Source organism: Homo sapiens, chromosome 7 (genome assembly GCF_000001405.40).
Source record: "Homo sapiens chromosome 7, GRCh38.p14 Primary Assembly".
Classification (NCBI taxonomy): domain Eukaryota; kingdom Metazoa; phylum Chordata; class Mammalia; order Primates; family Hominidae; genus Homo; species Homo sapiens.
In genome coordinates, this window is record NC_000007.14 from 65,641,595 (window position 1) to 65,662,776 (window position 21,182).

At 39.7% G+C, this 21,182-nt stretch overlaps 1 long non-coding RNA gene and 1 pseudogene across 2 annotated transcripts in view; one reads left to right on the forward strand and one right to left on the reverse strand.

Moving 5' to 3' along the window:
• Window positions 1-5,415: 5,415 nt before the first annotated feature.
• The window catches only part of LINC03006 (long intergenic non-protein coding RNA 3006), a 123,801-nt gene continuing 108,034 nt past the window's right edge, over window positions 5,416-21,182 (reverse strand). Inside the window, exons 5-8 of the long non-coding RNA NR_038378.4 lie at window positions 7,824-7,956; window positions 7,251-7,387; window positions 6,741-6,826; window positions 5,416-6,447 (exon numbers count right to left, since the gene is read on the reverse strand). This is a non-coding gene — a long non-coding RNA (long intergenic non-protein coding RNA 3006). The remainder of the gene's footprint in view (window positions 6,448-6,740; window positions 6,827-7,250; window positions 7,388-7,823; window positions 7,957-21,182) is intronic.
• INTS4P2 (integrator complex subunit 4 pseudogene 2) overlaps window positions 6,260-21,182 on the forward strand; it is a 70,835-nt pseudogene continuing 55,912 nt past the window's right edge. Inside the window, exons 1-2 of the transcript NR_027392.2 lie at window positions 6,260-6,453; window positions 18,086-18,206. The product of NR_027392.2 is annotated as an integrator complex subunit 4 pseudogene 2 (transcript). The remainder of the gene's footprint in view (window positions 6,454-18,085; window positions 18,207-21,182) is intronic.

Below are 21,182 nucleotides of genomic sequence, written 5' to 3' on the forward strand. Positions count from 1 at the left end.
CAGATCCTTAATTTTTAGTTTCCAGATGATCAGACTCCTCAGCTTGAAATGCAAGGGCATTATAGACTTCAAGCAAATTGCATGTGCATTAAGACTATCGAACTTGGGACGAGTAATCCTATAAAAGCAAAATCATTGCTGAAGCATTTTTGTAATCATGTATTCCTCCTGCATGTTCATTTGAAAATGTTCTCTTTTGGTGTGGAGGCAAATGAGCTGATTATATTGAGCTCCGTCCACCAATTTATTTATTTATCTAATAAACATTTTAATGAAGGGGTATCAGGCACGTTTATGTTTTACCCAAGAGACTTATTTAACAGTCATTCAACCATTTGGTCATTAATAGTGAAAAGGTCACAGGCTTTGGCATGAGGCAGGCCTGGGTTTGAAACAGATCTTCGCCATTTCCTAGAAGGGTTGTCTTAAGGCAAATTATTTTTTTAGACATGTTTTCAGTTTTTCTGTTAAAGGAAAAATTGTTTGTAAAGACTGCATTGTGACTGAGAAAGGGCACGCAAACTAGATGAGTTTAATCCTATCTCTCACTCCTGACTAACCTTATATGTATACACAAATACAAAATGCTCCAAGTTGGATGTGAAACAAATGGTGGTATAATACTCGCCCTTAAATATAATTGCAGATAGCCACAAAATATAAAACCATTTACGGATGTGAGAAAATTAGTATAATAAAGAAGAAAATACAGAATAACTTTTTCTTCTGTTATTTAACTGGTGTAAAATTAATTCCTTGACTCTCATATTTGTCAACAAATATGATAATGTATGTGGTGATGTACTGTTTTGCCTTGAGAAGGAAAAAATTATAGCCATAAAATATTTAAGAAAATTCTGGAAATAAGAGTAATAGAATTACTTTTTTCAGACATTTCCCAAATGTGTTTTAAATGGCTTTCCTGAAGGAGAAATAGAGAGGGAGAGAAAAAAAGAGAACATTTAGATATAATTACAGAAAAGACCTATGCATAATATTAGTGGACTTAAAAATAATCATGCATATTCATAACTGAATTGCTAATTAACATTCTCAGAATTTTGTTTAATGTAAGCAAGTTATCCTAATAGGGTTAGGGCAAAAACAATATGATAAAGATTGAAATCTGTGGCTATTTAAAAGCACTGAAAACTTGACTAAATTGCCTCTCCCCCTCCCTTAGACATAAACAATTAAGCCTCATCATGTTGTTTTTTCTTCCCCGCCGCCCCCTCCCCCCACCCCACCCCAAGACAGAGTCTCACTACTCTGTGGCCCAGGCTGGAGTGCAATGGCGCCATCTTGGCTCACTGCAACCTCCGCCTTCTGAGTTCAAGCAATTCTCCTGCCTCAGCCTCCCGAGTAGCTGAGATTACAGGGGCCCACCACTGCAATCTCAAAAAATACAAAAACTAAAAATAATTTTTGTATTTTTAGTAGAGATAGGGTTTCCCCATATTGGCCAGGCTGGTCTCGAACTCCTGACCTCAGGTGATCCACCTGTCTCCACCTCCCAAAGTGCTGGGATTACAGGCGTGAGCCACCGTGCCCGGCCTCATCATGTTTTTTAAACAATAAAAAGGGCAAGTTTTAGAAGACAGTATCTTAAGGCTGGGTGCGGTGGCTCATGCCTGTAATCCCAGCACTTTGGGAGGCCAAAATGGGTGGATAACTTGAGGTCAGGAGTTCGGGAACAGCCTGACCAACATGGTGAAACCCTATCCCATCTCTGCTAAAAGCACAAATGAATTAGCCAGGCATGATGGCGGGTGCCCATAATCCCAGCTATTCGGGAGGCTGAGGCTGGAGAATCGCTTGAACCCAGGAAATGGAGGTTGCAGTGAGCCGAGATGGCGCCACTGCACTCCCGCCTGTGCGACAGAGCAAGACTCTGTCTCAAAAAAACAACAAAAAAGACATATTAAGATACAATAACACTTTGAGCCTTTGCTGATTGTTGATGAGTTTCAAACTCACAGAGGGTTTTGAAGAAAGGCTGGCAGAACTTGAAGGCAGAACACGTGGGCTGAAGTCCTGTCTATGCCTGTTACTAAATAGCAATGTGAGCTTCTGGAGGACTCTGAACTCTCTCAGCCTCTGTGAAATGGAGATAACATTTCCTGTGGAGCTGCGTCAGAGATGTTGGGGAAATCATATGGAAATCAAGTATAGCTGTCAACAAGTTTTGTGAATTGTAAATGACCTTAAGCATACGAAGTATTAGTCATCTATTCACTCATCACACATGGAGCATGCCTAGTGTTAGGAGGCACGTGGTGGGGTTGGCGGGGGTGTGGTCATTAACATGGTGAATGAGATCTTCAGAAGCAGTGTGTTCCCCTGGGTAAGGGCATGGGCTTTGGAGTTAAACCCACCTAGAGTAATTCAGGGCTCATCACTCCGTGACCTCCTGTCCTGAGACCTTAATTTGTCCAATGTTACATCATTGTAAATCCCAGTTTCTTTAACGCGGATATGAAAAAACACCATATATTTCACAGGGGAGTTATGAGGATGTGAGAACTATGATCAAGCACTTAACTTCACATGTTCAAAGTGCTCAATGACAGTTGGCAACTATCAATCAACTCTTCACACATTATATCTCTAATCAAGGAAAGCAGGCATTTGCACCAATAATGACAGAACAAAACAACATGGGGGAGAGTAGTAGTATAAACAACTTTGAGAGTTCATAGGTGGGCTGCCATACTTTCAGCTAGAGTGATAAGTAAAGACTTTGGAGACAGGTAAATATTAAGAATAAATCTTGAAGAACGAGTCATACCTCAATAGGAAGAGATATGATTGGTGGACAGCATTTTAGGTAGACAGAGAATAGAATGAGCTAAAGTGTAGAGATGAGAAATTTGAGTACTCCAGTTGTCTAGACTAGCACTGTCCGATAGAACTTTTGTCCATGAAGGCAATGTTGTATGAACGTTCTGTCCAATATGGTAGCCACTAGTGGCTGTTGAACACTTGACATGTGGATAGTGTGACTGAGGAGTTGAAGTTTTTATTCTATTTAATTTTAATTAGTATACATTTTAAAACCACATCTGACGAGTGCCAGCTCAAATCATAGGATACACGGAGAGGAGTTTAGTGTGATAAGATCCAAACAGATTGGCAAATTTCGAAGAACTTTACTGCTAGGCCAACACGTTTAGATTCCAAAATAGAACAAACATATTTAGAAGCAGGCAAAACAAAAGAATACGTTTATGAAGGAGACCAAAAAGTTGCAGAGAGAGAAATAGGAAGGCCAGGAATCCAACAAGGAATGGGCATTGAAGAAAGACTTGCCTCGTACTGTTAGTTAGAAGCCAATGGATATGGGAAGAAAATTTGTTAGATTTGGTAATTCAGAGCTTCTTTGTGACTTTCAGAAAAAAAGTTTCCCCTGAGTGGTAGAGGTGAAGAGAGTATTGCAGGAAATTAGGAGTAAGGTATGCTGAATAGAGGCAACATGGAACAGCCTTTTTTTTTTTTTTAAATGTTTGTATTCCTAGAGTTATAGGATAAAGCATTACACACTAAGTTAGTCTCAGCAAGTACTGTATATTTGCCAAGTAAGTGGAGTTCTTGCAGGCAAACTAGGTAGTTTCAATGCCAGGTGTGAAATTATAATGGTTTAGATAAAATTTTGAAGCAATTCTACAAATAAGTACTCTGAGTCATGACATTTTTAGGCCACATTGAAAACGCTAGCTGAAAGAATACAAACAATGTTGAAATCATATTTAAGCCCCTTGCTGAGTTTATATTCTGAGCTAAGGATAGATTAGCCTCATGCCCTTATATGATGAAAAATTGTTTTGTTTTTCTTGCACAGCACAGTTAGGTATCAGATAAAGGGGGAGGAGTATCCTCATGGATACCTCAAAAACAAGTAACCCATGGACGGAGGACAGAGAAATTTCATGCAAAGACAGATTTTCCTATCTCTTATGATTAAATTCTCTCAGTTTCCTCATTATGAAAATCATTTGGGATACCTGATAAATGTACAAAATCTTCTGCCTCAATTCATACTGGTCAATATAAATCTTAGCTTGGCGATCTGAATTTTTAATTAGCACCTGAGCGATTCTTAGTATCAGGCAATTTTAGGAAATGTTTATTTATTCATCCTTTGAACAAACACCAGTGGAGTGTTTTTTCCATATTGCAGACATTCAGATACTAGGACACAAAGATAATTAAGACATGGTTTCTAGTCTTAAGAAATTGTTCTAGGAGAGGAGACAGTAAATGCCATGTAAGAAATGGCTTGGTAGCTGTTGCAAAAGGACCACAGAGAAGGGCAGCTCAGCATTGAGGAGACCATGGAAAACTGTGCTTGGGGAAGGTAAAGTTTGAGTAGGGTATTCAAGGATAAGCCAACCAGATATACAGGGAGTGTGAGAGAAAAGCACTCTTTTCAGGATAAACGTCACATTAAAGACAAGAAGAGATTGTGTTGGGTCTATGAATACTACTGAATTCAACACAGCTGGAAAACAGGTTTTCCATGAGATAATGGCCTGTGTGGCAACAGACAAAGGCATTTTTGTACCAGAGCACAAAAATAAGTGCCTAGTTATTTTCAAGGTAATGTGAAATCATTAAAGGGTAATCTGGGGTTGGTGAGATTGGAGATAGGGAGACCCATTAAAAACTTAATACATTAATTCAGGTGAGAGGTGATGGTGTCTGACCTAAGGCAATAACCACAGAGGTAGAATGGAAAGAACAGTTTTTGATAAATAGTTGGTGATTTATTGTGTATGACATAATCAGACGATAGTTCTTTTGATCCTTTTATTAATATTGTCTCAATGAAATGAACTGAATTGCTGAATAATTGATTTTGTAGATGGCTCACATATGGCTCACATGATACATTTGGCCATGATGGGGAACATATAATTGTTTGCTATTTATACCTATGGTGACTTCTTAAATTGGATTGCTATTGGACAAGATTTTCAGTATTTATCCCATTGATTTAAGGAGACACCAACACAGAGGATGGTCTCAGAGGTTTTCACAGTCGCTTCTGTGGGTATCCCAAACTCTTTGATATTATATAGGTGAGGAAGTATGTATTGCTTACTACTTTTTAAGTTCTTCCTAGTATTCTGGCCCTTTAACAGTTTATTCTGTTTGTTTGTTTTTCCTTCTTTGATTACTTACAGTTGTAATACCTTTTAAAGACATTTTATATCTCTTCCTTGACTTATTCCAAATTTAAATTAATACATAGAATATGTATATTTACAAAATATGTTAACTAAATGAATTATTTTTGAATTATTTTGAGACTTTCTAAAATAGTTTAAAGTATCTTGAGTCGTCATGAAACTAACTTTGAAAGGTGCTGATTTAAAGTGACAATATTTGTGGCCATGCAAGAAAAGAGGCACTGGACATTTTAATAAGCAGTTTAATAGAATTTAAATATATGACATCCAATTACCGACAGAATACAAAGCATCATAAAGTATGATTTGCAGACATATTTTATAAATTGGAACACCTTAAGGATTCATGGCATTTGTGTAAAATGTGTGGTCGTTAACACATTTTAATACATTGATTCTATTGTGGAAGGTCGTGTGACATGGAATGTTAAACAATTAAAATGGTCAAATGTACTTCCATGTTTATGTGATTTGCATTCACAGGAAGAAAATGGGTAATGCCGAAGGAACATTGGCCTAGAGAAGCTTACTGAAGCAAGGGAATTTGGAGTGAGACTTTCTCCCGCTGCGGCTTTCTGCCCCCACACCGCGGCTTTTGCAGCTTTTTGCCTCCGCCGCCGCGGCGTTTTGGTCCCCGCCGCCGCGGCTTTTTGTGGTTTTTTTGCCCCAGCTCCCACTGCTTTTTGTCCCCCCCGCCGCGGCTTTTTGCCCCCGCCCCGGCGGCTTTCTTCCGCCGCGGCTTTTTGCCCCGCCGCCGCGCATTTTTGCCGCCGCGGCTTTTTGCCCCCGCCGCCTAAGCTTTTTGCCTGCGCCGCCGCGGCTTTTTGCCCCCCGTCGCCGCGGCTTTTTGCCGCCGCGGCTTTCTGCTCCCGCCGCCGCGGCTCTGAGGGCGGGAGCGGCAGACTCCGCTGCCAGCTCTACTGGCGTCCTGGCAAGGGCAGCGCCGAGGGGCGCTCCCGGTCCAGCTCTCCCGGCTCGGGGGTTCCTTGCCTAGGCGCCCGAGCCCCGGGCTCCCTGCCTCGGCCGCTGTGGCCTGCATAGGGCGGCACTGCGCGCGGAGGCGATGGGAGAGAAGAAGGAGGGCGGTGGCGGGGGTGATGCAGCGGCCGCTGAGGGTGGCGCAGGGGCCCCGGCCAGCCCGGGGCTGCAGCAGTGCGGACAGCTCCAGAAGCTCATCGGCATCTCCATTGGCAGCCTGCGCGGGCTGGGCACCAAGTGCGCTGTGTCCAACGACCTCACCGAGCAGGAGATACGGACCCTGGAGGTAAGGGGTTTGGGGACCCGGGCTGGGCTCGAGGAGCGGCCCGGACACCTCCCTTGAGGCCCCAGTTCACTCCTGGCCGAGTTGCATCCTTGAGCCCGCGTCGCGCCCTTGGAGGCTTCCCCTCCCTCCTGCACTCGCTGATGCGGCAGCCGAGAGACCCGGGACCAGCCCTCACCTTGGGCAGGATTTGTGGGGCGGGTGCTTGGTGGGAACTGGGATGGAGGCGCTAGGGTCCCGTGGGGCGGGTCGGGGGGGTGGGGGTGGGCTGCGCGCGGACATCCCCTTACCCCCCGAATTTCCATCTGGTCCGGCCCTCTCATCTTGTAGGTGAGGAAACCAAAGGCCTGAGGGAGAACTGACTTGCCAGGAACCCCTGTTAAGGAGAATTACCAAAGTGTGGTTATTAAAGGAGAACTGAGTTGGGAGTCAGACCTGGAGTCCCACACCCTTGGTTAAGTCATTATACCACCTTGAGTCTGGCCTGTTGACTGAGGGTGAGCCACTCCATCCTCGTCTGATTGTGGGGTCTTGACCTCAAGGGGTTTCGTGCAGGAAGAAGCAAATGGGTTTGCTTTCCTAGCTCTGTCCAGTACCTTAGGGACCCTGAGGACTGAAGCGATTCTTGGAGAGCCATCTGGTGTATGTCATGCGTGGGCCTTTCTTGAAGGTCTGTCTGCCCAGTGGGCTGGCTCAGCCCGAATGAACTGTCTTGAATCTTTGGAGTTGTCTGTGTACTTTTAAGGGCTTCTCATCCTTGCACCAAAAGATCCCCTGGAAATTAGGTGGGAAAACCTTACCTTTTGTGGGGCCTTGTGTTTGTCTTAAAAGTTCATGCACATGGCCAGGTGTGGTGGCTCACACCTGTTATCCTGTCCTGGATCCCTTGAGTCAAAGAGTTTGAGACCAACCTGGACAATACAGTGAGACCCCGTCTCTACAAAAGATAAAATATTAGCCAGGGGTGGCTGTGCGCATCTGTAGTCCCAGCTAGTACTGTGGCTGAGGCGGGAGGAGCACTTGAGCCTGCACTGAGCTGTGATCTCACCAGTGTACTCCAGCCTGGGCCACAGAGCAAGACCTTGACTCAAAAACAACAACAACAACAACAAAAATTCTTGAAGATTTTGCATTCTGTCCCACTATGCATTGGTTTTCATGTCAAGATAATGTGAGAAATTCTTTACAATTGCTTCCAGAAGGAATAGCCTTTTGATTTAGTGCACAGGTGTCCAGTCTTTTGGCTTCTCAGGCCCACATTGGAAGAAGAATGCTCCTGGGCCACACATAAAATACACTAATGCTAACAACAGCTAATGAGCTTAAAAAAAAAAAAAAAAAAAAGGTTTGTGCAGAATTTTGATGATACCCACCACCAAAGATAGGCGGAAAAGTCCTTGTAGTCACAGGGTTGGACACGGCTGATCTAGTGTCTTGTCATCCGTTTTGGCTTTCTCCCGGTTTCCAGAATGCAGGTAGAGATGTAGAGACGTGCTCTCAGGACAGCTGTTGAGATAAAAAAATTCGTTGTCATTTATTCCCAAGGACAGCTGTTTGTCATTTGCATTGAAAAAGTCTCCATTCAAACTGCTGTCACATATAAAATCTATTTATATAAGTCTGTATTTTTCTGTTGTCTTGGCCTTTGTGGGCAGTAGTGTGTTTTAACCAAGCAAACTGTCCTTCCAAATAATGAAGCCGAAGTCAGCCTGCCTGCTTGCCATTTTTCTTCCCCTTCCATTTTTCTAACCTCAGGATAGTTGTAAGAATGAATTAAGATTTGTGTTTAAGGCCGGGCACAGTGTCTCAGGCCTGTAATCCCAGCACTTTGGGAGGCGGAGACGGATGTATCACTTGAGCTCAGGAGTCCAAGACCAGCCTGGGCAACATACTGAGACTCCGTCTTGTATAATTAAATTAAAATTTAAAAAAAGAAGAAAAAAAGACCTGTGCTTAAAATTTAAAAAAAGGGGGGAAAGTGTAATGCAAAATGTGGACTATGCCAGCCATGATTGGGAAAAATAATTTTTCATACAGCATTATCTGTAGACTTGTATTAGCAGCATACTGGTCATAAGCGTTTTGCTTTCCTCAAATATGATGAGGTAAGCTACTTTAAAGTGTGGTGGGGCTTTCTTCCATGTGGCTCCTGGAGGTGTTGAGTCCCAATTTAGCCAATTAATTTGGGTTTAGTTTTGATATGGATAAGGGAGTCCAGCTTCATTCATGGTGCACACACAGTTTTGCCAATAAGGAAAAAAAAAAAGCCACCTGAATGTTCCTACTCATTAGATGCTATCTGGAGAGCTCCTTCCCCACCCGCACCAAGGCCCGGGCCCTTAAAAAGACTCAGTGCAGCCTTTCTGTATCTCATACTGTATTCTGCAAGATGCTCCTGTGAAAGAAAGTTGTGCTGCACCAGCCATCTCCCTCCTGAAGATCCCTGCGGATGAGGATTTGTGTTTTAAAGGTTCTGAGAAGTCCTGCAACAACAGTTCTCAAACTTATTTGTCCAGGGGATCTTTTCTTCCACTGAACGTAGTTGGGGAGACACGGCCTTAAGCCTTGAGCAGAGAAAGAGACAAGAAACTGTTGGCTCACTTACAACCAAGTGTTGTGTTTTATGTTTTAGGTTTTTATGAAACTGAGGTGCTGTTTGAGGTTCTAAATCAAACTGGGTGGTTGAAGAGAGGCTGGTATCCCTGTAGACTTAGCCAGCCATGAGAGGTTGCCTTTTGTTGAAGGAGGTGTTTTACAAAGGGAAATAGGGTGTCTCCTGGGCATCACATTAGCACTTAAATACATGTATCACTGAAATGAAATGAAATGATGAAATGAAATGATCAAATGAAGAAACGAAATGATGAAATGATGAAATGAAATGAAATGATGAAATGATGAAATGATGAGATGAAATGAAATGATAAAATGATGAAATGAAATGATGAAATCGAATGATGAAATGAAATAATGAAATGATGAAACAAAATGGTGAAATGAAATGAGGAAATGAAATGAAATGATGAAATGAACTGATGAAGTGAAATAATGAAATGAAATGATGAAAAGAAAAGATGAAATGATGAAATGAAGAAATGATATGAAATGATGAAATGATGAAGTGAAACAATGAAATGAAAAGATGAAATGATGAAATGAACAAATGATATGAAATGATGAGATGAAATGTAATGAAGTGATGAAGTGAAATGATGAAATGAGGAAATAATGAAATGAAATGATGAATTGATGACATGAAATGATGAAATGAAATGACGAGATTAAAAGGTGAAACGAAATGATTAAATGAAATGAGATGAAAAGATGAAATGATGAGATGAAATGAAATCATGAGATGAAATGATGAAATCATGAGATGAAGTGAAATGATGAAATGAAATGATAAGATGAAATGAGAAATGGAATGATGATGAAATGGTGAAATGAAGTGAAATGAAATGATGAAATGATGAAGAAATGATATGAAATGATGGAATGAAATGATGAAATGAAGTGAAATAATGAAATGATGAAATAAGGAAATGAAATGAATTGACGAAATGATGAAATGAATGACGAAATGAAAAGATGAAATGAAATAAATGAGATGAAAAGATGCTATGAATTGATGAGATGAAATGAAATCATGAGATGAAATGATGAGATGAAATCATGAGATGAAATGATGAGATGAAGTGAAATGATGAAATGATGAGATGAAATGATGAAATGAAATAATGAAATGAAAGGATGAAATGATGAGATGAAATGATGAAATGGAATGATGAAATGAAATGATGAAATGGTGAAATGAAATGAGGAAATGAAATGAAGAAATGAAATGAAGTGAAATGATGAAATGAAATGAAATGATGAAATGAAAAGATCAAATGATGAAATGAAGAAATGATATGAAATGAAGAAGTGAAATGATTAATGAAATAATGAAATGATGAATTGATGAAATGAAATGATGAGATGAAAAGATGAAATGATGAAATGAGATGAAAAGATGAAATGAAATGAGATGAAATGAAATCATGAGATGAAATGAAATCATGAGATGAAATTATGAAATGATGAGATGAAGTGAAATGATGAAATGAGGAAATGCAATGATGAGATGAAATGAAATGAAATAATGAAATGAAAGGATGAAATGAGATGAAATGATGAAAGGATGAAATGAAATGATGAAGTGATGAAATGAAATGATAAGTCAAATGATGAAATGATGAAATGGAAAGATGAAATGATGAAATGATATGAAATGAAATGATGAAATGATATTAAATGATGAAATGATGAAATGAAGTCAAATGATGAAATGATGAAGTAAATGAAATGAATTGATGAAATAATGAAATGATGAGATGAAATGAAATGATGAAATGATGAAATGGAATGATGAAATGAAATGATGAAATGGTGAAATGAAATGAGGAAATGAAATGAAGAAATGAAATGATGAAGTGAAATGATGAAATGAAATGAAAAGATCAAATGATGAAATGAAGAAATGATATGAAATGATGAAATGAAGTGAAATGATTAACGAAATGATGAAATGATGAATTGATGAAATGATGAGATGAAAAGATGAAATGATGAAATGAGATGAAAAGATGAAATGAGATGAAATGAAATCATGAGATGAAATTATGAAATGAGATGAAGTGAAATGATGAAATGAGGAAATGCAATGATGAGATGAAATGATGAAATGAAATAATGAAATGAAAGGATGAAATGAGATGAAATGATGAAAGGATGCAATGAAATGAAATGATGAAATGAGGAAATGAAATGATGAAATGAAATGATAAGTCAAATGATGAAATGATGAAATGGAAAGATGAAATGATGAAATGATATGAAATGATGAAATGATATTAAATGAAATGAAGTGAAATGATGAAATGATGAAATAAGTGAAATGAAATGAATTGATGAAAAATGAATTGAGATGAAAAGATGCAATGATGAAATGAAATGACGAAAAGATGAAATAAAATGAGATGAAATGAAATGATGAGATGAAGTGAAATGATGAAATGTTGAGATGAAATGATGAAATGAAATGAAAGGATGAAATGAAATGAAAGAATGAAATGAAATGATGAGATGAAATGATGCAACAAAATGATGAAAGGATGAAATAATGAAATGAGATGAAAAGATGAAATGAGATGAAAAGATGAAATGAGATGAAATGAAATCATGAGATGAAATGATGAAATGATGAGATGAAGTGAAATGATGAAATGAAATGTTGAGATGAAATGATGAAAGAATGAAATGAAATGATGAGATGAAATGATGAAATGAAATGATGCAACGAAATGATGAAAGGATGAAATGAAATGAGGAAATTAAATGAAATGATGAAATAGATGAACCAAAAATACTTATTCATTTTTTTTCTTGGCATCCTTCTAAGAGTATTTTAGTGAGGTTAATTTCTAAAACTAAATTGCTATTCAATGGCTTTACAGTTGGCCTTTGCACCACAGGGGTTTGAACTGTGCAGGTCCACTTAGCAAAACCAACAATTCTACATCCTTCTCCACACCCTGCCCATGAAAAGGATGAGGATGAAGACCTGTTTGATCATGTACTTCCATTTAATAACTAGTAAATATATTTTCCTTATGATTTTCTTTTTCTTTTCTCTGGCATGTTTGTTAAGAATACAGTATATAAGACATATAACATATTAAATATGTGTTAATTGACTGCTTGTGTTATTTGTAAGGCTTACAGTAGGCTATTAGTAGTTAAGTTTTGGGGGAGTCAAAGTTATAGTGGATTTTCTACTGTGTAGGGGGGCCAGCACCCCAACCTCCGTGTTGCTTAAGGGTCAACTGTACATGTTATTTCCTTTCCTGTAAGAGAAAAATGATGAGAAGGTCTTTTCTCCAATAAGTGTATTCAAAATGTAGCAGACTTGAAATGTGTTGGCGCCACCATTTTGCGTCTCACTTTGAAAACTTATTATTAAAAATCGTACTAAAGCCTTACTTTTCCAACCTTAGAAAAAATGTTACAAAGAAAAGGAGTGAAACCATGCTAGTTTGCCCTGAAATTTGAAATTATCTTGTAAAAATATATTTTTACATTAATTGCTTCCAAAATAGAGATCAGTTGCATACAAATGGCAGGTCACCCTAATCCACCCTATGACTGCACTTAGATTCATGAGGAATTGTGCCATCTAGAAAGGACAGAGAAGAGGAATAGAGTGCTCTGCGTCTTGAAATATAAACATGCACATAGCCACATGCTTTGATTCTGTTATCACTGTGTACTTACTGCTAGGAAGAGGGCATGTTTGTGTATTTTTATGCTAATTATTATGCAAGTTGTTAAGGATTTAGGCTTTCAGAACCATATAAAGGTTTTTTCCTTTCAGATATAAACTATCTTGCATTGTTCTTCTGATCATATGAGGGATAAATTTGCCTAAATATTCTTCAGACCATAATGTTATGTCCATATAAATGCCAGTAGCAAGAGTAGAATCAACCACAGCTGCCTTTGTAATTATTAAAAGCATGTGTGCCTATAAGTAATTGGCATTTTATATAATCAAGAATCTTTGATATAATAATCTCTCAACTATTTGAAACATGGCTCACATATATTAATTTTATATGCAAATATATGTATAATATCATTGTATATGAAACTAAATTTTGGACTGTAGAACAGCTTCTTAGAATCTTGACTTAAATGTCCACAGTAATATTTGACTGAAAAAAATTTAGCACACTGTCACTATGATGAAAAAATTACTATAAAATTATTTTAAAAATTTTCCACCCTAACGTTTAGAACATTCTCACATTTGTGGTTAAAACCTATTGTGATTGTTCCTAGAATTTAGATAAAAAATGTTCCAGAAAGTTTGAAGAGAAGCACTTTAGTCAATTTGTATTTGTTCAAGCATGAAGAAATGGCATTTCATTGACATTTTAAAAACTATTCAGATTCCCTCTTTGAATTCAAGTGTTTCAAAGATATCTTATTTTTAAATACCAAAATAGGAATAGAATATGAAGGGCTGGTTATGAGTAATATGATACACTTTTATGAGAGGATGAGATTACAATAACAATACCTCCTCTCATAGAATAACCAGCAAGTCTCCACTAAATAACAGTGCCTTGATTTTATAGATGTTTAATCTTGGATATTGAGTTAATGTGAACCATTTGTAGACACAGGAGTTTATTAAAGAGTTATATAATATCTTTCAAGTATTTAGAATAGTGTTGAAATTAAGCCTGCATCCCCACGATTTTCAGCGGTGCTGATGCCTAATAAACTCAACCCCTTGCATGCCAAAATTGGCTTAAAGCCCACCCGTTACCCAAGCTACACTTCAAGCATCAAGGCTCAAAAATGTAATTTTAAATATGCAAGAGTTTGAGGAATTCACTACTCACACTTTCTTGAACAGTCTATCCAAGTGCATCAAGCAAAATGTGAGTAAAGAAATTTTGACCAAAGGATTGATAGTAATGTTGAATACTTTTAATAGTAGATCTAAGATTAAAAGGTGAGAGTGAGGGTGAGAAGAGTGTATGAATGCTTTGTGTTCTGACAAAGAGAATGTAGCACCCATGTCCTACGTGCTCGGTTGCATTGCCAGTGCCCACGGTAGGCTATTTTATCCCAGTTTTTAGTTTTTTTTGTTTTGTTTTGTTTTTTTCTTTTCAGGAGAATTAGTCCAAGACCAATAACTCCATAACTGGTAGAATTGGAAGACTTCAATAGTGCTTAACATTTTGTACATAGCTTTATAACAGTTTTCTTTTTCTTTTTTTCTGAGAGATTCTTTTCAATATACCCAATCATGGTCGAACTCAAAGTCATTGCTTATTTAAAATCTACAACTGCTGACGTTTTGTATCCTTCACATTCCAGGTAATTGGTTTTTTTGTGCATTTTCTGTATTTTTCTCCATCAATCTGCCTAGATATTTGTTAGATTTAATATTTTAATATTTTTCTGAAAAAGTGACCTTTTGCAGTTTTAAACATATACTCAGTTGTTTTAATTCTGCTTTTTCATGTACTATTTCCTCGTTTTTTTTTTTTGGTTTTTTTTTTGATACTATGTGGGAAGCCAAGTAATTTAAAGGAAACTTGGATAGTAAGGACTCAGAGGAACGGAAGTTAGTTGGCTGATTCAGATGTTTGGTGGCATAAGACTCTGTTAGTAATCTAGGCAAGCAGTAATGACAGCATCAAGGGAGTGAGGATGGACTGATAGTGTAGAATTTAAGATATAAGGTAGAATTTGCTTCCTTAATGAGTTCAGGTTTGCGTGTGTTGGGTACAAAAGTTTGATGGGACATCCGTGAAGAGAATTCCAGCCATAAGTAGTTATAAAGGTCTGGAGATCAGGAGAAATCAGAGCTAAGGGTAGGTATTCGGAGCCATCAGTATTTAGGGAGTATGGGGCTACCCAGAAAGAGTGAGTGGATTGAAACAGAGGCCAATGATTTCAGACCAAGGTAAACAGAAGTGTGCGCTTTGATTTTTACAGGGGGAGGAAAAACCCATAATTGGTGTTTGAGCCTGTGAGAACAGTACTGTGGGCTCCCAGCATGCTTTGCTGGGTTTGATCTGTTCTAGATGTTTTTATGCCGTCAGTCTGTGATTCTCCTTCCAGATGTGGGGTAGAGTGCATAGTCAGAATATAGCCAGAGCAGCTGACAGAGGTCAAGATTCATTTTTAAGCAAAGATTCAAGAAGTTAAAACCACACACAAGTGTTTTACTGGGCATCCTTATCCAACTACCCTATATCTTCACTTTGAAAATAGTTTAAACATTGCCTGAGAGGACACAGAACTAATAGACTTTTGGAATTCTTCTTTGCAGGCCTGTAAATTACTCTCTGATGACTATGAACAAGTGCGCAGTGCTGCAGTCTAGCTTATCTGGGTTGTCAGTCAGCTCTATCCTGAAAGGTCAGTGCGGGTGTAAGCTGGCTTTTGTTGATTGTGAAGCCGTTTTCCTCTCCTCTCACCATGCAAAAAGCCCACTTCTAGAAAAGAAATGTTGGTTAGATTTTTGGAAGGCAATGGGGAGTAAGGGAAAAGCACAGGCCCTGAAAATCAGATTGCCTGGTCCTCATTTTTCATCTCTGATAGGAACTTTCTGTACACCTTCGGAAAGACACTTCTTTTGTCCTAATCTTCTCATCCATAAGTGAAGAAATTGGAATATCTTTCTTAAATGGTTTTCAGTACTTTACAAAAAAATCTTTAAAATTGTTTGGGACCCATTTTAGTTTGGCTTGCGCCAAATGCCAGACAAAGATACCAGATGAGTTTGAGAATAATGATCTCTTATGTAGTTTTCCTGGTTAAAAATATTTTCACAGCAATTAAGTTAACCACAGTGATTCTTTGAGGAGGTAGGCAATATTATTTATTATATTTTGTAAGATAGAATATTACATTTATAAATATTTATCTTTTATTTATAAATATTTATAGAATATTTTATTTTTCCTTGTATAGGAAAAAGAGGTGTTTTTTCCTCTTCATTAAACTGCCAAAATTTGAAAACCAGAATGGATTAATAAACCTGTAGGAGTAGGCTCCATTTGTAGTAGACTCCATTTTAGGACTTAGACACATACAAAGAAAAGGGCTAAGTGGAAATTGTCTCTTCTTTTAGGACTGGATTGATAAGTAAGTTTTATATTGATTTATTCTGAGATTTAATGTATTTATAGAAGTTCAGTCTGGACACGGTGGTGCCTGTAATCCCAGCACTTTTGGAGGCCGAGGTGGGCGGATCACCTCGGGTCAGGAGTTCAAGACCAGCCTGGCCAGCATGGTGAAACCTCATCTCTACTGAAAATACAAAAATTAGCCGGGCATGGTGGCACACGCCTGTAATCCCAGCTACTAGGGAGGCTAAGGCAGGAGAATCGCTTGAACCCGGGAAGTGGAGATTGCAGTGAGCTGAGATCGCACCACTGCACTCCAGCCTGGGTCACAGAGCAAGACACTTTCTCTCAAAAAAAAAAAGAAGAAGAAGAAGAATTTCAGTTACAGAAGATAATAAACTTAAGGATATGAAATATTCGGTGGAAGCTAGTTTTTGATAATTTCATAAATCTTTGAACCTTTGGTGGGTTACGTACTTTTTTTTTTTAAGGCAGGGTCTTGCTCTGTGGCCCAGGCTGCAGTGCAGTGATGTGATCTCGGCTTACTGCAACCTCCAACTCCTGGGTTGAAGCAATTCTCATGCCTGAGCCTCCCAAATAGCCGGAATTACAGTTGTGCCCCACCACACCCAGCTCATTTTTTGTATTTTTAGTAGAGATGAGGTTTTGCCATGTTGGGTAGGCTAGTCTTGAACCCCTGGCTTCAGGTAATCTGCCCACCTCAGTATCTCAGTGTGCTGGGATTACACGCCTGGCTGAACCTTTGGTGAGTTACACACTTTTATTCAATACATTGAAAATTTGCACCTGATTGCAGTGGCTCAGCCCTGTAATCCTAGCACTTTGGGAGGCTGAGGCGGGCGGATTGCTTGATCTCAGGAGTTTGAGATCAACCTGGGCAACATGGTGAACCGTCTCTACTAAAAATATAAAAAATTAGCTGGGTGTGGTGGCATGCTTTTGTAGTCCCAGCTACTCAGAAGAGTGAACTGGGAGGATCACCTGAGCCCAGGAAGTTGACACTGCGGTGAGCAGTGCTCATGCCACTGCACTCCAGCCTGGGTGACAGAAGTGAGACCCTGTCTCAAAAAAAAAGCATAATTTGCAATGCAACTGAAAGAGTTGGTTTGTACTCCTAGAGTGATTTGTTTATTTCAAACTGTATTTAATCATTCTAGGATTTGAACTATTCAATTATCATTTTTGTGTGTGTCAGTCTTCATTGACTGTTCTCAGTTTATTGAGCCTGCAGCCTTACTTACTTATGTATTTATTTGTTTATTATTATTATTATTATTATTTGAGATGGAGTCTCGCTCTGTTGCCCAGGCTGGAGTGTAGTGGCACTATCTCGGATCACTGCAACCTCCACCTTCCAGGTTCAAGCGATTCTCCTGCCTCAGCCTCCTGAGTAGCTGGGATTGCAGACATGTGTCACTGTGCCCAGCTAATTTTTATATTTTCAGTAGAGAGGAGGTTTCACCATGTTGGCCAGGCTGGTCTCGAACTCTTGACCTCAAGTTATCCACCTGCCTCAGCCTCCCAAAGTGCTGGGATTACAGGCGTGAGCCATTGCACCCAGACTGTATTTATTTTTTGAGACAGGGTCTTGCTCTGTCATCCAGGCTGGAGTGCCGGGGTGTGATCTCAGCTCACTGCAACCTTCACCTCCAGAGCTAAAGTTATGTTCCCACTTCAGCCTCCCAAGTAGCTGGGACTATCAGCGCATGCCACCATGCCTAGCTAATTTTTGTATTTTTTTTGTAGAGATGAGGTTTTGCCATATTGCTCAGGTTGGTCTTGAACTCTTGGGCTCAAGCAATCTACCTGCCTGGGCCTCCCAAAGTGTTGGGATTATAGATGTGAGCCACTGTGCATGGCCTGAATCTGCAGACTTAGGTTCATGTTTTGTTCTAAGTGATTTCATTTCTTTTCTTTTAATTTAGCATTGTCCCAATTCCTTCTTCTAATGAAGAAATACGCTTAGTTGATGATGCGTTTGGAAAAATTTGTCACATGGTCAGTGATGGCTCTTGGGTGGTTCATGTTCAGGCAGCAAAACTGTTGGTAAGTTATACTTTTTATGTATGTATGAATGCATGTATATATTTATTTGTTTTCTTTTCTGTAGAAATGAGGCCTGTGTGGCCCAGGTTGGTCTCAAACTCTTGGCCTCAAGCAGTCCTCCTGCCTCAGCCTCCCAAAAGACTGGGATTATAGGCTGGGTGTAATTCCAGCACTTTGGGAGGCGAAGGCGGGTGGATCACGAGGTCAGGAGATTGAGACCATCCTGGCCAACATGGTAAAACCCCGTCTCTACTAAAAATACAAAAATTAGCTGGGGCATGGTGGCGCACGCCTGTAATCCCAGCTACTTGGGAGGCTGAGGCAGGAGAATCGCTTGAACCCGGAGGTGGAAGTTGCAGCGAGCCAAGATCACGCTGCTGGACTCCGGCCTGGTGACAAGGAGGAGACTCTCATCTTAAAAAAAAAAAAAAAAGGCTGGGATTATAGATGTGAGCCACTACACCCAGCCAATAATCCTTTTTTTAAATGAACACATTGCTTGTTAAGTTTTTACAAACATTTTGAGAAACTACAGATGGGGCAGTGTGACCTGAATTTAAAACCCCAGAATTTCTTTTTCTTTTTCTTTTCTTGAGACAGGGTCTTCCTCTGTTGCTCAGGCAGGAGTGCAATGGTGCAGTCACGGCTCACTGCAGCCTCGACCTGCCAGGCTCAAGCGATCCTTCCACCTCAGCCTCCTGAGTAGCTGGGACTACAGGCATGTGCCACCCTGCCTAGCTAATTTGTATTTTTTGTAGAGATGGGGTCTTGCTTTGTGCCCAGGCTGGTCTTGAATTCCTAGGCTCAAGTGATCCTTCTGCCTTGGCCTCCCAAATTGTTGGGATTACAGGTTTAAGCCACTACTCCCAGCCCCAGAATTTCTTAATATAGAAAGAAATAGTTCACTCTCCTGTTCACTTTTAGAACTAGAAAGAATCTTAAAACATAATTCTATTAACCCTACTAGGAATTAAGATAGCCGGAGCCTAGAGAAAAAGGAAAACAATAAAAAAAAAGTTTTTCCCATTTATTAAGCACTTGTTATGTCCTAGTTCAGGAGGCTCAAACCCCCAGGCTGTGGACCAGTCCTGGTCCATGGCTTGTTAGGAACCAGGCCACACAACAGGAGGTGAGTGGTAGATGAGCAAGTATTACTGCCTGAGTGCTGCCTGCTGTCAGATCAGCAGCTGCATTAGATTATCATAGGAGTGTGAACCCTATTGTGAACTGAGCATGTGTGGGATCTAGGTTTCATGCTCCTTGTGAGAGTCTAATTCCTGATGATCTGAGGTGGAACAGTTTCATCCTAAAACCACCCTGCTTCACTACCCTCTCTGGTTTCTTCCATGAAACTGAACCCAGATGCCAAAAAGGTGGGGGACCACTATCTTAGATAATTTGAAGGAGGCCCCTTACATATATTTTCTCATTTTCTCTTTACAGTAATCCTGCAAGATAGATGCCATTATCCAGTTGGGGCATGGTGGCTCATGCCCATAATCCTAGCACTTTAGGAGGCCGAGGTGGGTGGGTCACTTGAGCCCAGGAGTTCAAGACCAGCCTGGGCAACACACCAAGATCCCATCTCTATTTTTCAAAAAATAAAATTTAAAAAAATTTTTTTTAAATGCTGTTATCATTTTCTAGATGAGAAAACTAAGGCTCTGAGGAGTTAAGTAAGTTATCCAGCTTATACAGACAGAAAATTGTAGAGTGAGGTCAGATCCTGATCTTGCATCTTTTAGCCTGGTACTTTTCTGTTTTCTTTTTGAGGACTCAGCACATTTATTGAAAATTTTTAACTTTTGTGGCTCACGCCTGTAATCCCAGTACTTTGGGAGGCCAAGGTGGGCGGATCACGAGGTCAAGAGATTGAGACCATCCTGGCCGACATGGTGAAACCCCGTCTCTACTAAAAATACAAAAATTAGCTGGGCGTGGTGGTGCACGCCTCTAGTCCTAGCTACTTGGGAAGCTGAGACAGGAGAATCGCTTGAACCCGGGAGGCAGAGGTTACCCGGGAGGCAGAGGTTACCCGGGAGGCAGAGGCGCAGTGGCTCACACCTATAATCCCAGCACTTTGGGAGGCCGAAGCGGGCAAATCACTTGAGGTCAGGAGTTCGAGACCAGCCTGGCCAACATGGTGAAACCCCATCTCTACTAAAAATACAAAAACTAGCCTGGTGTGATGACACACACCTGTAGTTCCAGCTATTCTGGAGGCTGAGGTGGGAGAATCACTTGAACCTGGGAGGCAGGGGTTGCAGTGAGCTGAGATTGTGCCATTGCACTCCAGCCTGTGCAAAAGAGCGAGACCCTGTCTCAAAAAAAAAATTGTTTAACTTTTAAGGGATAAAATTGTTTTGTAATAGAGTGTTGGCCTAATAGCCTTATTTTATATCTGTGTTACCTTGTATATGTCACTTGATATTAGTCTCAGTTTCCTCATCTGTTAAGTGGGGTTCTAATATCTCTCATATTTACCTGACAGTGTTGTCATGATGCTCAAATGAGATACAGTCTATGAAAATGTTTATAAACTAAAAAGTACTATACTATGTAGGGTGGATGGGGGCATAGTATATAACTATATGTGTGTGTAAGTATCTATAAAAATTTGTATACGTGTCACAGCAGGAAAATCTGTGATTCTTTTTGGACACTTCCCCTTTGAGTGCCCCCAGCCCTGCCACTCTTGGTGAGACTGTTGGCTGAATGCTTTGTTTCTGACTGTACTGGACACTGATCCAGTGATAGCTTTAGTCCTGTGACCAGTATTTATGGGAGTACTTGCTGAAACCTGTGTGAAGCATTTTCATGAGATATAGTAATGGATGATTGGAGTATTTCCACTCTTGTGCATATTAGAGTTAAACAAGCCAGCTGTTACTGATTTTATTTCTGAATTCATATTTTAAAACTTTCTTTTGGGTTATGAATGTTTTAAAATTCAGAACAGTCTAATCATTCATCAGA